Source organism: Homo sapiens, chromosome 10 (genome assembly GCF_000001405.40).
Source record: "Homo sapiens chromosome 10, GRCh38.p14 Primary Assembly".
Taxonomy (NCBI): Eukaryota; Metazoa; Chordata; class Mammalia; order Primates; family Hominidae; genus Homo; species Homo sapiens.
Genome location: NC_000010.11, coordinates 120,588,140 through 120,605,557, shown reverse-complemented (window position 1 = coordinate 120,605,557; position 17,418 = coordinate 120,588,140). Strand labels below are relative to the sequence as shown.

General features: G+C 46.4%; 1 protein-coding gene and 1 long non-coding RNA gene across 14 annotated transcripts in view; both read right to left on the bottom strand.

Moving 5' to 3' along the window:
* Positions 1–5,434: 5,434 nt before the first annotated feature.
* Positions 5,435–7,609, bottom strand: LINC01561 (long intergenic non-protein coding RNA 1561). The gene has a single exon (NR_103717.1). It is a non-coding gene; the product is annotated as a long intergenic non-protein coding RNA 1561 (long non-coding RNA).
* Positions 7,610–13,492: 5,883 nt separating this feature from the next.
* The window catches only part of PLPP4 (phospholipid phosphatase 4), a 135,112-nt gene continuing 131,186 nt past the window's right edge, over positions 13,493–17,418 (bottom strand). For 12 of the 13 annotated variants that reach the window (XM_011539444.4, NM_001030059.3, XM_005269592.3 and 9 more), the window contains one exon: positions 13,493–16,255. In XM_011539444.4, the coding sequence (XP_011537746.1) occupies positions 16,056–16,255 (200 nt within the window). In that variant the 3' untranslated portion in view covers positions 13,493–16,055. The remainder of the gene's footprint in view (positions 16,256–17,418) is intronic. The other variant, NR_134516.1, reaches the window with a different exon arrangement.

Below are 17,418 nucleotides of genomic sequence, written 5' to 3'. Positions count from 1 at the left end.
ATGAAGTTTTACTGTAGCCAAACAGGCAGCCTGATAATATGACAGGACGACAGAGAGAGACAACAGTGACAGACAAACAGAGAGGCAGAGAGGTGCTGGTAGAAGAATGAGCAGAGAAGTCAGAAACACACTGTGATGTATAGAGACAGAGAAAAGACACCCCAAGGACATAGAGACCAAGGCAAAACCACAAAAGAGAACATAGCCAGAGTTAGAATGCACCAGTGCCCAGCTGTACATTAAATATGCTATCATTCCCCAAACTTAACTCATTTCAAATTAAAGAATAGCTATACTACTTAGGCCCCTTGGGGAAAAAAAAATTAATTGAGTGGGCTATCATATTGCAAACCTGCTTCCAGGTAGGTATCTGGCCACTCAAAGCAGTAATATATTTACTATCTGTTGCCCACCCTCCATCCCCAAACACCCCTCTGCATGCATTTGGTCTCTCAGAACCTGTCTGGTGTTGGTTTAAAAGCTGCCATGGCCTCTTTTTTTCTGGCCATTCTGGCAAATGTCTCTTAGTTTGCAAGTGTGTTTTAATCAATGGGCCTACAGCTCCAAGTGTGCAACTGACAGCTTCTTGAAAGATCTTTGCAAATCACATTGGAGTAAATAATCATATGAGAATGGATTGGGGTGTCTGCTTTATAAATGAGTATGATAGCCAATACTTAGGTTAAAAAAAATAAAGAAGGTTTTTGTTTGGTTTGTTGGTTTGCTTTGTTTACTGGAAAAATGTCATTCAAGGTATCTGGGTTTGGTTGATTTGTTGTTGTTGTTTTTGCTTCTCTCCCCACAGCCCAAATGAGACAGCTTTGAACTTCCTGAAACACTTTTAGAAGAACAAGTCTTCTGTATCCTATAAGAAGGAAAAGACAGTAGAATTTGTTTCCAGATTTTATCTAACATAAGAAGGCCCTCAGGGAACTGTAGCATAATTGGAATGATGCGGCCCCAGGTATCAAGAGTTCTCTCTTTTAGCCATCAACTTGGGTAAGGAGCCTAAACTTGGCAAGCCAACCTTATAGGGATAATGGCAACAACAAAATAACATGATGTACCCATTCATTAATGCGGAAATATTAATATATTGAAGGCCCCCTCTGGGGACAGGGCTATGAATGAGACAGAGGGGATCCCTGCTCCCAAGAAGCCTGCACTCTAGAGAGGGCAGAAAGGAAATATATATATATGTATTAGTACAGTAGGGCTGCCGTAACAAAGTGCCAAAAACTAGGTGGCTTAAACAACAGAAAAGTACTGTCTTGCCATTCTGGAGCTGGAAGTTCAAGATCAAGGTGTTAGCAGGGTTGGTTCCTTCTGAGGGCTGTGAGGAGAATGAATCTGTCCCAGGTCTCACTCCTTGGCTTGTAGATGGCTGTCTTCACATCGCCATGCTTCTGTGCAGATCTGTGTCTAAACCTCCTCTTCTGAATAATGATGCCAGTCATGTTGGGTGAGGGCCTGCCCTAATGACCTCATGTTCACTTGATTACCTCTGTAAAGGCCTTGTCTCCAAATAAGGTCGCATTCTGAGGTACTGAAGGTTAGGACTTCAACATACAAATTTTTGGGACAGGGACAATTTGACCCATAAGAATATATGAATAATATAACTGTGACATGAAGGAACTTAGGAAAATACAATAAAAACTAATTGTGTGTGTTGGGGGAGGGGGGAGCCGTCACAGTGACGGCAGGGCTCAGGAGGTGGCATTGAGGCTGAGGCCTGAAGGAGGAGAAAGAACTAGGTGAGGGAGAGCCATCCAGGCAGAGGCACAGCAGCATGGTCAGAAACCGCTCAGCTGGTTTTGAAACCGTTCCCCAAAAAACTTTATAAAACTGATTAAAGGAAAAAAGAAAAAATTCAACTAGACTAGCAACACAATCAGCAGAAATCACTAAGCCAGCTTGCCCTTTGGCCCACTTCCTTGTAGCCGGTCGCTGCTCACAACCCCAGAATAAGGTAGCCCTCCTCACAAGGCTCTTTGTTCTACGGATAAAATCTAAGCGTTTCCCCTTTAGATTCTGCAAACTGACAAAACTATCCATCCCCCTCCTCTGAAGGGCCCACTAAGCAGCTGACTCCTGGAAGACACAGTTTCCACATCCTGATAATTTCACTCCTTTACCGGACCAATCGATGACCCCGTATTTACCCCGTATTTTCCAGCCCCTCATCCTCCACAATCCCCTTAAAAACTCTTGCCCAGAACTCCTCAGCAAACAGATTTGAAGCTGGGAATTCCTCCCGTTTTCTTGTTCAGCGGCCTTGCAATTATTAAACTCTTTCTCTGCCGCAAACCCTGCTGTCTGAGTATTGGCCTATTGCTGCACAGTGGGCTGGTGAACCCGGCAGTTTAGCAACAGTTTGATGTGCAAAAGAGAGAGAGTCCAGATGAAAATATACAGTGATGTGGATGGATGAATCTTAAATGAGAAAAAAATCCAAACCCAAGGACAACATCTTGTATGATTGTATTTATATGACATCCTAGAAAAGGCAAAAATCAGACAGCAGAAAGCAGACCTAGGGCTGCCTGGGGCCAGGGATGAAGAGCAAAGAAGCAAAAGCAGCTTTGAGGATGAGGGAAGTGCCTTCTATCTTGGTGGTTACACAGTTATGTATTAGTCAGCGTTCTTTAGAGGGACAGAAGCTGAGGGGCAAGGAAAACCAATCCAAGTCCCAAAACTGAAGAACCTGGAGTCTGATGTTCGAGGGCAGGAGGCACCCAGCACAGGAGAAAGATGCAGGCTGGGAGGCTAGGCCAGTCTTGCCTTTTCATGTTTTTCTGCCTGCTTTATATTTGCTGGCAGCTGATTAGATGCTGCCCACCCAGATTAAGGGTGGGTCTGCCTTTCCCAGCCAACTGACTCAAATGTTAAACTCCTTTGGCAACACCCTCATAGACACGCCCAGGATCAATACTTTGCATCCTTCAATCCAATCAAGTTGGCACTCAGTATTAACCATCGCATATGTCATCCTAGAAAAGGCAAAAATCAGACAGCAGAAAACAGATCTAGGGCTGCCTGGGTCCAGGGATGGAGAGCAAAGGAGCAAAAGGCAGCTTTGAGGATGAGGGAACTGCCTTCGGTCTTGGTGGTTACATAGTTATTATGTACAAGGATCACAATTCAAACACCGTACACTTAAAACAAGTGAAAACTGTTCTCTGAAAACAGTGCCTTAATAAAAAAGGAACACACACATACACACTTGGGCTGCAGTGGAAAATGGATTTGGGGGAAGTGAATGTGGCACTGATGGGTGGGAGACATCCCAGCAGCTCAGGTGAGCAGGGGTGACAACAGGGGTGGACTACGGTGGCCACAGTGAGCTGGGGGGTGTGGTTAGGTGTGGAGTCCACTTTGAAGGTAGGAGCCAGAGGGGTTGCTGATGGATTAGAAGAAGAGAATCAAGAAAAGGACCAATCAAGGCAGGTCCCTAGGGTTGAGGTTTAAGCAGGTGAGTTGATAGTGGTCCCAGAATGCACAATACACTGTGAAATACCAACCAAACATAAAGAAATGTCATCATTTCCCGAGATCCCTCTTTCCAGGATAGAGCATACCCCAAGAACAGCCTGGTAAAACTGTCTCTTCTACATTGTGTCCAGCAGGCAGAACAGAGGGCAGAAGCTCCCACACCAGGTGAGCCTGAGATCCATGTGGGTGAGTGCTCATTACAGAGTCCCAGTTCTGATCCCCAGAGTCTAACTCAGTAGCTCTGGGGTGGTATCTGGGTCTCGATAATCCCATGAATGAGGACACCATGGCACCTGTGCGCGAGCAACCTGAGAACTCAACTTTGAGAACACAGCCTCTGGAAGAAAGGGAATAACACGCCCCTGCCACCCGCCACACACAGCCCACAGTTGGCCCTGGGTCAGACACAGGTTATGTCTTAACCTTGTATAGAGAAAAAACCTTAGACAAATTCAATTTAACAGAGTTTAACCGAGCAAAGAATGATTTGTGAATCAGGCAGCCCCAAGAATCACAGCAGATGCACAGACGCTCTAACGCAGCCACGTGATGGTAGAAGACTTATGGACAAAAATACGAAAGTGACGTCCAGAAAAGGGAAGTGGGGTACAGAAACAGCCGATTAGTTACAGCTCTCGGTGTTTGCCTTATTTGAACGTGGTTTGAACAGTTGGCTGCCTGTGATTGGCTGAACTCTGATTGGCAAAAGAGCAGGTGATAGTCTGCTTACGCATTCAGTTAGGTTACAGTTCACTATGCATGTAGAAACTTTTAGGCTGAACTTAAAATATGTATGGAGGCAGCTTTAGGCTAAATGTAATTTAACAACCTGAAGCCACTGGGTGGGGATGCTTTGGATCCTGATGCCACTTGGCAGCGGCCTAGTTTGCTGAGTCACTTCCCCCAACTAGCAGCTCAGGTCACTGCTGAGGACACAGGCTCACCTATCCATCAAGAGATGGGCTCCCACCCAAGGGGGCCACCAGGGGGTGGTCCTGAGCTGAGGCTGCAGCCAAGCCCTCCCAGTCCAGCCTATACTTCAGGCTCCCAGAAAATCCCACTCTAGGCTGGGAGTGTGCAGAGGTTGGAAATGGGGTTGGGGAGTCCAGGCTGGCAGGGTGGTCAGGAGAGTGAAGTGGACCCCTCAGGGTGCCCCGAGGCAGGATCTCAGCCTCTTCCTTGGGGGACTGCTGAGATGGCAGTTGTGCTGGGGTTGGGAGGGAGTGCCACCTCTGTGGGCACCAGCACAGAGCAGGGGGAGAAGGGAGCTGGCTGCACAGCAGGCTCACAGAGGAAACGCATGCTGCAAGTCCCGGACTGCAGAAACTCTCATCATCCAGAGTCCCTAAGTCCTTCCATCCTCTCTGTTTCCTGAAATTCAGGGGTTCTGGGCAGAGGAAGCAGAAGCAAGCCGGCCTTCAGTCTCCATCTCTGAGTGCCCTCCTGAGCCTTCACCTATGGCAGCTGCCTCCCCCTCTTCCCAGAGCCGGCCTCGGGCTGGCCTCAGGCTTCTGCAGCATCCTAGGGCTTCCCTCTGCCCCCATGGATCCCACATTCACTGGCCACCTGTGCACCTCGATGTCCACTAGGGCCCAGCACCTATGCTCCCACCTGCTCCCACCTCCCCACAAGGTTGGTGACCTGGAGGCTGGGAGGCCCATAGACAGGGTGCTCAGCTGCAGCCTAGAAAGCTCTCAGCTGGCTCTCCTGACCCCCAGCTTAGATCTTCAGCTTGGGCTGCTGCTCTCCCAGCTCCCACTTCTCCCCAAATCTCCATCCCCCTTGTGACTTTCCAGGTTCAAGCTTCCCGTTTACGTTCCCAGTTCCATTCTGCCTGCACATGCCTGTCCTTGGAACATGTTTCTGGAACAATAATCTAGTAATGAGATTCCAACAGACTACAAAACATGAAGAAGGAGACACAAGGAAGGAACAAGGCTCTTTTCTGTTTCTTAATGTTCATTTATTCAACAAATACTAATTGAGCCTCTATTGTGTGCCAGGTTCCATTCTAATGCTGGAGACACAGACAACACAAAACAGATGTCCCCTACTCAAGGGGCACATGGCACACAGGGAATAGATGCCTCATTACATCTGTTTAAGAAACAACATAGCCACTGCAGAGATTCACAGCAGGCTGAACACGTGTTTATCTCCACTCCTCTTGCATCCACTAAAATGATAGTAAAGTTGTAGACCACCCATAAGGACAAAGGAAATCGGAGACGGTAGAAGAGAGATTGATTTCAGCAATGTTTTGAAGATAAAAATCTAGATGGACAACAACTTCAGCCATCTTTCTCTGCTCTGACAAGGGCCTGCACGGGGAGCACGCAGCTTTGGGCTGCAGAAGTCCATCTGGAAAGGCTTGGAAACTGACCACCCCAGGCAGGAAGAACAACCAAATTCACTGCAGGCCAGAACTGTGTGTGGTATTAAATGCGCAGGCTCTGCAGAGAGATTGCAGGATTCAAATTCCGGTCGTCTGCTCACTGGCTGTGTGATATAGGTCAAGGTTCTAAACCTCTCTGTCCCTCTTTGTCCTCATCTGTACACAAGGGGCAGCAAAAGTGCCTTTCTCACAGTGCTGTTCTAAGTGCGCCTGAGAACCCGCTGCAAGCACTCGGTGTAGCCCCGGACACAGAGTGAGCACTCAGTAAGGGGCAGCTATTAGCATAGCTATTTCTTCTCTCTCAGCTCAGAGCGTCTCCCAGAGCAGCCAGTCCTCACACCCTGCCCCCAGAATGGAAGAACAGGTGGAAGCTAATACCATCACTGCACAGTATCGTTGGGAAGTTGTATGGCATCCCTTTGTTTGAGTTAATAAAGCTCTTTCCCTCCTTTAGATTAAAAAAAGAAAGAAATGGAATGAACAGCGCTCTGCCTGGCTTCTCCTCCACATCTCTGAGGCGGGTTTCCCCATAGACCTGCAAATCACTCAGCCTCATGCGACCATCATGCCAGGAGGGGCATGAGGTGGCAGCAGTCCAGCCTCTGCATGTCACTGCACAAAGTTGACTCCACAGAGGGGAGTGACACCCACAAGGCCACACGCTGGTGACTTTTGGGGATGGGAATGCAGAGCCCTGAGGCCTCACCTGCAGTCTCCCTGTCCCTCGACGTTGCTTCCCATGTGAAACTGGCCACAATTCAAGGAGACAGGCAGAGCAAAGGGGGTTTTATAACACGTGAGCCTCAGGCCCTATTTTGTCCCAAACCACACTTGTGTCTCCCACTCCTACCCCTCCCCCTCTTGTCACATGGCTCCTTGTCTCGTGGCACCAGGCTCTCCAGAACCCCAGTGTCGGAAGGTGTCCCTCTGAGCATGGAAGATTTTCCACCACGATGGAGCAGCCGGATTCTCAATGGCCAGAGGTGCAGGGAGAGCAGTCAGGCTTGTCCTGAGGAGCAGTGACAAGGCAGATGGCACCACCTTGTGAGAGAGGAGAGCAGCAGGATGCCCCAGTCACAGCGGCATGCAGGTGGCCCCAGCCAGATGGCTTTTCCCAAGTCCAGATTTTCAGGCTGATCTGGACACTCAAGATTCCCAGCTTCTGTGCTGAGGAGTCCTGGCCTGCTCCTGAGCTGGTGAGACCCCAGTTCCCCTGAGAGCCTGCTTCCCAGCTGCTGTCTGGTTTAGGGCCCACAGTTGACCCCTCTGGGAGTCTGTTTGGCAACTCAGAGGATGCTCTGAGCACCTGGGGGAAGAAAGTACTTGCTGGCCTCACCCCTGGGACTCTCCAGGCCATCTGTGCTTTCTCTGCTCCTCCTGGAATCTGAGGGGTTCTGGTCCCAGGAGCTCAGCCTGTCCTCCTGACATTGACACAGGAGACAGCAAAGCTACACCACAGATATACCACAATACAAGCTTCCGCAGAGCCAAAGAAGCAATGGCTCTGCTATTACATAGGCCTCGATGCTGTTGTCTTGCTCTCACAAGCTGTGTGACCTTGGGGAGGTGGCTTGCCTTCTCTGATCCCCAGTTCATCTGTAAAGTGGTGGAAATTGGATGAACGAACCCATTGCACAGAATATCCAGTGCTACTCAAAATCCTGGCACTGAGTTCTTAGGAAGAAGCCTCTGGACAAGGAAGGCCAGGGAGTGTAGAATTCATCTATCAAATATTTTAAACAAAATGGTCAGCATGTGAGAGAGGCTCAAGACACGACTCTTCTGGGAAATGCATTCATGTAGAACAGCCCGTGCCTCACAACACAGTGACAGCTCACATTGACCAATCACAAGAGCTAACATTTATTGAGCACTTACCGTGTACCAAGCCCTGTACTAAGCACTTTCTATACATGCTTTCTTCATTTAATCCTCACAAAAAAACCCATCTTACACATGAGGACACTGAATCTTTGAAAGGTTCGTAATTTGCTCAAGAAAGTATCTGAGCTGGATTTGATCCCAAGCATGGCTGAGTTTGCTCTTGTCCATTATGAGGGTGGAAAATCACTCTATTTTGATGATATTCATCAGATCAACCCCAAAAGGCAGCCCCTGCTTTGCCTTGGGGGTTCACCCTCAAGTTATCAGCAGTGAGTGTGACTTCAAAGATCATTCTTTTCTATTTGTTTTTAGAGACAGGGTCCCTCTCTGTCGCCTAGGGCTCAAGTGTGGTGACATGATCATAGCTCACTGCAGCCTCAAGCTTCTGATCTCAAGTGATCCTCAGAGGTAGCTGGGATTACAGGTGTGCACCACCATGCTCAGCTATTTTTTTTTTAAATTTGTTGTAGAGATGGGGCCTCACTATGTTGTCCAGGCTGGTCTTGAACTCCTGGCCTCAAGTGATCCTCGTGCCTCCACCTCCTAAAGTGCTAGGATTACAATGTGAACCACTGTGCCAGGAAGGGATCTTTCTAGAGCTCCAGGGTGTAGATATGGGGCTGACTGGGAGTCCAGGATAACCAGCTGAAGATTGGAATGTTCTGCAAAGTCTGCTTCAGTCAATGGCAAGTCCAAGTGAAACACAGTTTATATGATCCAGGGAGAGCTATATAAACTACCCACCTTTAGACAATCTCTATTGTGTGTGTGTCTGCATGTGTGTACACACATGTGTGCACATGCGTGCAAGGAGGTATCTGACTCCTCTTTTTAAGGAAGGCTGGGTCCATCATTTCCTGAAACTCCCCTTTCACTGAAGCTCTCTTTGCATACACACTATCCTTGCTGGCTCCTGGAATACAGGTATGAGCACTTTTTGTGCAATTGGTTTCCATGTGAACGAAAACATTCTGCAATCCCTAAGAGGCTCACAAGCCTCTGGGTCTTTTCATGGGTTTTTCTAATTTCACACTTTTCTCCAATAATTCAAGTATCCATCAGCTTAGCTCACCCCCTTCCTTGGATAGATGCAGGTTCTCCCTGCCCCTCTCCTGCTCCCCTTCTTTCAGGAGGCCTCCTAAGGAGTGAGCCCTGGTGTATGGAGGCTTCTCACTCCTTAGCACCCCTAAAGCTGCTTGTCTTGTCCTGGCTTTGGCTCAGATGGGCCTTTTTCTCCCAAATAGCTGGTGCCTGGAGCAACATCTGACTTAGGTTGAATACCCCTCAGACATATTAATGTTTCTAAAAATCAACATAGTGAATTTTGCTGTATTATTAATTCAACCTTCTTATAGGGGGAATCTGGTTCCCTAAGAGGATAAATTGTATCATTACCTACTGGTGGCAGCAGCGATTAGAGGGATTATAATTCAATTAGGGTTTTAATACCTGATTACCATAACAGTGTTGCCAGTGAAATTCTCCTGCTTGTATCAGAATTGCTATTTACTCTTCAGAGATGCTACAGACTGAGTGTTTATGTCTCCTCCCAAATTCATATGTCAAAATCCCAACTTCCAATGTTATGGTATTAAGAGGTGGGGGCCTTTGGGAGGGCATTAGGTCATAAGGGTAGGACTCTAATTAATGGGATTAGTATTCGTATATGAGGGACCCCAAAGAGTTCCCTTGCCCCTGCCACCATGTGAGGACACAGTAAAAAGACAGGGGTCTATGAACCCTGAAGCACACCCTCACCAGACACTAAATCAGCAGGTGCCTTGGTTTTGGACTTCCCAGTCTCCAGAAATGTAAGAAATAAGTTTTTGTTGTTTATAAGCCACCAGTCTATGATAGTCTATTGTAGCAGCCTGAACAGACTAAGACAAGAGAGTTTTAGTGCCAGGTGCTTACTTTATTCATGTCTCAGATACCCCAGGAGCTCTGCAATAATCACAACTATCATGGTCTGATATCTTATTATGTTGTCGCAAAGGTACTTGCTGTTTTGATCATTACTTTTAATGGCAAAACTACAATTACTTTTGCACCAACCTAATACATTCTAAATCACTAAACCATTGTAAAAGGTCCTATAAGGTTGGTGTTATTCCTGTTTTGCAGATGCAGACACTGAGGCTCACGAGTGTGAAGCAGTTTGCTCAAGGTTAAGTGGCAGAGATGTTGGCAGGGCTGCCTGGCCCCATTCTAAGTGGTTCTTTCCTCCGTGCTATCCTTGAAGAGCACTCTGTATGTGGATGAAAGCAGGTGTTTAGCATCACAGTGTATGATGTCCCCAGGGCATCTGTGACTGTGTTCTATGTCAGTCTGGGGATCTTTCCAGGGCAAAAAAAGAAGAGACACCACATAGCAAGAAGAGACGCCACCCATCACACAGCATATTTTGTGTTAAGATGTTACTCTCATTGTCTGTCACTGAGAGCATTATTATTCCTGATCATTTACAGAATCCACTGGCAAGCAGTCATGGCAGCACCACTGCAAGCACTGGGATGAAAAGATGTCATCAAAGAATAAAAAGGGGCACCGGGTGCAGTGGCTCACGCCTGTAATCCTAGCACTTTGGGAGGATCACAAGGTCAGGAGATTGAGATCATCCTGGCTAACACGGTGAAACCCCGTCTCTACCAAAAATACAAAAAAATTAGTCGGGTGTGGTGGCGGGCACCTGTAGTCCCAGCTACTCAGGAGATTGAGGCAGGAGAATGGGGTGAACCCGGGAGGTGGAGCTTGCAGTGAGCCGAGATCGCACCACTGCACTCCAGCCTTGGTGACAGAGTGAGACTCTGTCTCAAAAAAAAAAAAAAAAAAAAAAAGAATAAAAAGGGGCATGTTTCTTCACGGCAGTACTTTTCAGAGCCTTTAATATGCTATTTTAAATTTGGATCTGTAAGAGGATAATTTAGAATCTATTAATCACATCTGTATTGTATTGTATTTTCACAAAGCTGGACCAGTTCTGTGAAATTCCCTTTGAGAAACACTGGTGTGAGGCCATCTCTTCTTTTCCTCTGCCTTCACACAAACAAAAACTGCTTCTAGATTTCTAGTTCTTCATTTCCTCTACTCCCAGACAGCAGCAATGGTGCAAATTACATTAAAGTATTTATCCTAATTGACACTGAACTCCTTTGGCCTGGGATGGTTATAGCCAGGGGCTATCAAAGCCATTTTCTAATATATTAACAGTTCTTCTTGACCAAAGCAGGTACACATGTCCCCAAGCACGTGACGTGCTGAGAAGAGATAGGACATGCCCATCAAAGTTCTAAAGGCATAAACACAAACACACGTGCAAGGGAAAAAATACTCCCCAAAGAAGCACACATCTTTAAAATTCATGGTAAATTTTACACTGAAATTGGCATTTTACTTTTTAAAACTTAGGAAAATGGTTTTGCTTTGTTGTTGTTACTGTTGTTGTTTTGCTTTTATTTGTTTTGAAGTGGGGACAGACAGAAAGATCCAAGCACTGTGTCAGGCTTCCCTCGAAATGCTACTGTAGCTGGATGTTTCGTGTGTGTGCCAGAGTGCCAGAGTTTGGAATCACTAAATGCTGAAGACTTGGGGAACATGCCAGTTTAGATTAACTACCTGCCAGGCATTCTCTGAAATTTCCACCTGGGGTTGCACGGTGGATGAACCAACCTTTGGAAAGTTCGGTTTTGACAGGTGGGAGTGGAATTTTGAAGCCCGGTGTCATCAACGCAGTGCTCTGCACACCTCTTGGAAATAACTCTTCCACATATGGAGAGCTGGGACAGATGAAATTAAAGCTCTTCTTTAGAAGATGTTTCAGTTGTAAGAAACAGAAAGCAGCTCTAGTTGGGGGAAAAAATGCTTGCATTGGCAGGCTCTGGGTGGCTCACAGTACTGAAAGAAGAGCTGAGCAACCATTTCAGGCAGGCAGGAAATGGGGCACTCTGGGGCATCTGGAAGTAGGGGCTTATGTTTTTCTTCTCTAAGAGGCTGCCATTAAGGTGGCTCAGCTCTGTTCTAGCTCCTAGGAGTGAGATGAGATTGGCTCACCTAGGCTGGGGGTCTCCCTTTTGAGTGGGGAGGGGGAAGGGAAGTTTGCCAGTCATCATTTCTGGAACCCTAGTCCTGTGTGTGAGGATTTTTTCTAAGGAAAGAAGAACCTTCCCAAGTGGGGTCAACTCCAGATGTGAAGAGGAAGCAGATAACTATGAATGTGACCCCCATTTGTTCTGAACCGGAAAGAATGGGACATATCTTAAGTGATAAGTCATGGGAGGTGAGAAAACGGTGAGTTTAAGGAAAAGAACAGTATCTTCAAAATGGTAAAGCTGAGGGGAACGTGCCAGAAGCTTCAGGAAGATGGAGTATGCCCAGACAACAAGGACCATGGCTTTAGCTAGAAAAGCTCTTTAGGAGAAGGGCAATTCAATAGGGCTAAATAGATTGACTAAAGAGCTGGCTCTTCTGCTCAAATTCTAACCCACTAAGAAGACATGTGAGCCCTAAAGGAGACTGCAAACAGCCTGCTCTACATTTTTATGTGACTGATGTGCCATTTTTGTGTTTTAATTAAACAAGTTTGGTGCTGTCACAGATGCTGTTCATTGTCAACCCAATGGCCATTGTTTAACCCTTTTCCCAAGCAGGTAGAATCTTTCTCCTGCAAAGAGACTGAAAATGCTGGATATTCACTCTTCCAAGCCCCCATGACTTCTGGGGGTGGCCATCCAACATCATTCTAGCCAATGCAAGTAAAGGGGATATTTCTCAGGGGTGCTGGGAAACATTTTCTTCCCTGATAAACAGACCGACAAGTAGAGTTATCTTGTCACATGACTGGGCTCCTTTCTTTCTTCGTTTGAGCATGATGGGATGAGGATGTGATTCTTGGAGATGCTGCAGCCACCTTGTGATCATGAGGGAGAATCACTGGCATACTGAAGATGGTGGAGCAAGAGCATGGGAAAGCCTGGGGGCTTTGAGACCACCAACCTCTCAATTTCTTATTATTTTTAATCTTAATAAACCCCTACTGATTAAGCTTCTTTCACTGGGGTGTATTGTTGGTTGCATTCTAATGTATCTCAATGGAAACAGTTGCCCAAGGTAAAATCAAACAATCTCATATAAAATGAAGATTCTTGACTTCTCTTGGGGGAATATGTGTTTGGGCTGGGCGCTGTGGCTCACACCTGTAATCCAGGCACTTTGGGAGGCCGAGGCAGGCGGATCATGAGGTCAGGAGATCAAGACCATCCTGGCTAACACAGTGAAACCCTGTCTCTACTAAAAAATACAAAAAATTAGCCGGGCATGGCAGTGGGTGCCTGTAGTCCCAGCTACTCAGGAGGCTGAGGCAGGAGAATGGCGTGAACCCAGGAGGCCGAGCTTGCAGTGAGCAGGGATCGCGCCACTGCACTCCAGCACCACTTCCCTGGGGTGTGTGCTTTTAGTCTTCCACAGTCTCCACTATTCCTTAATGACCCCACTTGCCTCATTCACTGTATTCTCTTCCTAGTACCTCAAGGTATCTGAGCTTGTGGCTGCCGATCTCTAACATGGACTCTGAGTAAGTTTACTCAAAGAGGAAGAAATTCCGACATCCCACAGCTCCCAGGGTGGGCTCGGACTCTTCACACTGTGTGTAACCTGCTTTTCCAAAGAGACTGAATTAGGAACCCCACATCCAAAAAAAAATCAGGGGTTGAGGAATAAACGTTCTCATTATGGCCATTTAATTGGTACACTGTGATGTTATATTTACTTCACGTGAATAGAGCATGAAATTGAAACATAAGGATCTGTAAAAATGCCTGCCTTTTGTGAACTGGCTTACACTGTTCATTATGGCTCCTGAGGATCCTACCACCAGCTTCATGTTATTACATCATCTGTAATTTGAATTATATTTTAATCAAAGCTTTTACATGGCCAGTATTAGGATTTTCCATGTAATTATCAGCATTAGTAATACTCTGTTGTTACTTTGCAGAGTACTTCCTGGCCATTTATCTTTAAATAAAATTATTTATATTAAATTTACACTTGATGGTCCAGAATTTTAAGTCTTTATTAACTGAAGTACAACCCTTTTCCTTTCCTCTTGCTCAGATAAAACTAGAATCAAATAAGAATGTGGGCCACATCAGGATGGGGTTTTTTTTTTTAACAGTAGCAAAGGATCTTTTTCCTACATTTCTATTTTGGGCTTTATTTTTGAAAATTATAGAGTTTTTAGTTAAATTAGAGTATTGTTTAATTTTCTAATTTTAAATGAATTTTAGCTCAGAATTTAAAATTATGTCTTTTCAATTGCTATGATTTATCTCTTAAAATATCTCACATTCATCTTCAAAGTTGCTTGCCAATGTAACTGCTATAATTTTTAAAAAATCAATGGCTTGACTTTGGATGAAAGTCAATTCAAGCCTCCCCCTCTCCCACTCCATCCAGGGGACAATCACATGACCGTGCCAAAGCCAGTTTGGAAGGACCAGGGCTGGAGAGGGCTGCACTGGGGCTCATGGAGCATAGTCAGTGGTACATGCACTCCAAGCTTAAGCCCATGGAGCTTAACAGAAATGGCTGATCAAAGATATTCTGATGCTTCTAACTTGCACACGCAGCCCAGGGCTGATAAGCTGACCATTTAGGCAGCCACCTGAGTCTCTCAAAATGCAGTCTGTTATGCTAACTGCCCAAAAGCAACACTCTTGGCCAGGTGCAGTGGCTCACGCTTATAATCCCAGCACTTTGGGAGGCCGAGGTGGGCAGATCACTTGAGGCTAGGAGTCCGAGACCAGCCTGGCCAACGTGGTGAAACCCCGTGTCTACTAAAAATACAAAAATTAGCCAGGTGTGGTGGCGGGCACCTGTAGTCCTAGCTACTTGGGAGGCTGAGGCACGAGAATAGCTTGAACCCAGAGGCAAAGGTTGCAGTGAGCCAAGATCACGCCACTGCACTCCAGTGCAGTCTCGACACAGCGAGACTCCATCTCAAAAAAAAAAAAAAAAAAGTGACACTCTGGATAGCAAAGATGCATCACCTCGTAGCACCCAGGCCCAGGAATCTGAACAACCACATGGTACATCCAATCAGAATTGGATGAAGGGGATGCTCCTTGCCTTGAAAAAACTAGCTGGCCAAGGAGCAGCGTGCTCTATACTCAGACTGAAAAAGGTTCATATTGACTGGCTGTATTCAACAATGCAAAGAGCTGAGCGAGAGACACAGCACATTCCTGATTCTGTTCTTGTACCTTCTACCAGAGTCCTATCATGCTGAAATATTGCCAGCTAGATAGGAACAGGAACACACCACCACTTGGAGAATCCTTAGAGCAGAGCTCTGCAAAACTCAGATCCTAAAGGGGAAAAATTCTCAGCCTGAAGTTGCTTCTTATCCCCAATGGCCACTCAGCCACTCCCTTGAGATGAGCCCCAGGCATGCGGTTTCTGATCTGTGAGATCGGTCACATCACTTCTTGCAGAAGAGCCAAGTAAAGCCCCCGTGCCCCAAAAATTCACTGTATGAGGCAGAGCTACAGAAGTGGCTCCATAAACTTAGACTGGAAGATGGGAAGGATATTGTGCCCATGAACCCTCAGGCAACTGCTGTGACCTCATCCCCCACACATGCACTCATGCATCTTCATGCTCATTGTGTTTGGTGGAAGTCTGTGCATGAAGTTATTAATTTTATTTGCTTCCAGATTCAATGATTCAAAAGCCCTGGAAATGCTCAAGCTGTCACTCCAAGTTTCAAATCTATTTTAGAGACGTGGGCTATGAGAAGCTGATGGCTCAGAAAGGTTCTGAGCCTTTGCTTCCAAGCTCAGCACCTGGAATGACCTACAGACAGAGCTGGCTTTGGGTCTCTGAGAAACCTGCTGCATCTCCAAATGACTTGTTGCGCTGGGTGGCCAACACCAAGTCTTCCACGTGGGAGGTTTTATTATGTTTTACAACCATGAAAACATAGGAAGGTGGCTGTTACAGCAAACATTTCAGATAGACGAATCGGCCAAGCTCCCCAAACCCCACCTTCACAGCCTCTTCCACACGTCTCTCAGAGATTGTTGTCCTTCACTTGCAAATTCAAGGATGTTGGAAGTAGACATTTAAAGTAGCAGGAACACCATCAGTGAAACAGAAGCAGAAGTACGATGACTTTGAGAAACAACTGATGAAAAATACACTACAGAAAACCATTTCTATTGTGTTATGATGTCAGGGTGGCAGATGTGCCCAGGGCTTAGTGTCCATCCTCCCAGGACACTGGTCATACCGGGCCTTCGGTGATCCCCTCCAGAGGCAAGCTGGGTGCGCTGTCAGCTGTGGGCCTCTCCTCTTTCTTCAGTGAGGCTGGGACTCGCAGACTAACGTAGGGTTTATGGCAAGCTGTGTTGGCCAGAGGAGGATAGTGCTGTCTGTAGCAAATGTATGCAAAAATGAGGCCGATGACTCCACCCACAAAGGAATCTAGGCAGGAAACAGCAGAGCAGGAAAAATGGGTTACCATTTGTTCAAATGTGGCCAATTATATTTTCCAGAAAGCACTTTTCCTTCCTGTTCTAGGACCTGGTTTGCTTACAGGACCCCCTGAAAGACTAAAGGAAAGAAACCACAGTGGTGGCCTCTGCAAACTGCCAGCATTTCTGGTACTGAAATACTTAAAAATGAGTACTTGATTCTTTCTTCCCGGTTTTTTGTTTTGTTTTGGGTTGTTGTTGTTGTTTTTGATGGAATCTTGCTCTGTTGCCCAGGCTGGAGTGCAGTGCTGCAATCTCGCCTCACTGCAGCCTCTGCCTCCCTGGTTCAAGTGATTCTCCTGCCTCAGCCTCCCAAGTAGCTGGGATTACAGGCACATGCCACCACTCTCAGCTAATTTTTGTATTTTTAGTAGAGGCAGGGTTTCACCCTGTTGGCCAGGCTGGTCTCGAACTCCTGACCTCATGTGATCTGCACACCTCGGCCTCCCAAAGCGCTGGGATTACAGGCATGAGCCTCCACACCCAGCCCTTCCCTGTATTTCTTTAACTCACACCTGAGCATTGCATAAACTCAGATTTGTATTTCTGATTTTTGAAATCAATTCTAAATTCTGGAAGAAGAATTCAAGCCATCTCTGTAGGATCTAAATATCTTGGGAGCTGTAATTTTTTTTTTCTTTAGTAAGTTCCCATCAGAGTCCTGTAGTATTGCTGGTGTGCTGCAGAAAAGCCAGCAGATGCCAGGGTCTCTGCCTCATGGTAAGTGGTTTCCCAGGGATGAAATGAACCTTCTGAGTCACAGACAAAGTGAATAAAACATTTTAAGATATGCCTGTGTTGGCAAACTCAGCAGACCTCTGGCGGGAAGGACTCAATTCTCTAACAGATACAGATCTTACCAGCTGGGAGGCAAGAGGGGAGCAGGTGAGGCAGGGGGGTGCATCTGCAGGGAATACCAGCCCTCCGCCCCAAGGGCAGCCCCCTGCCAAAGAGAACATTCAGGTAGTTCTCAATAGAGACCTCATAAAAGCAGCTCACATAAACAACTCTCGCTTAGTATCTGTGTGTGTGTTCACTTTAACTGTCTATGGGTTATTTTTGCTGAAAAGATTCTAGTCCAGTGGAAAATCTCCCCTAACAAAAAAATTTGAA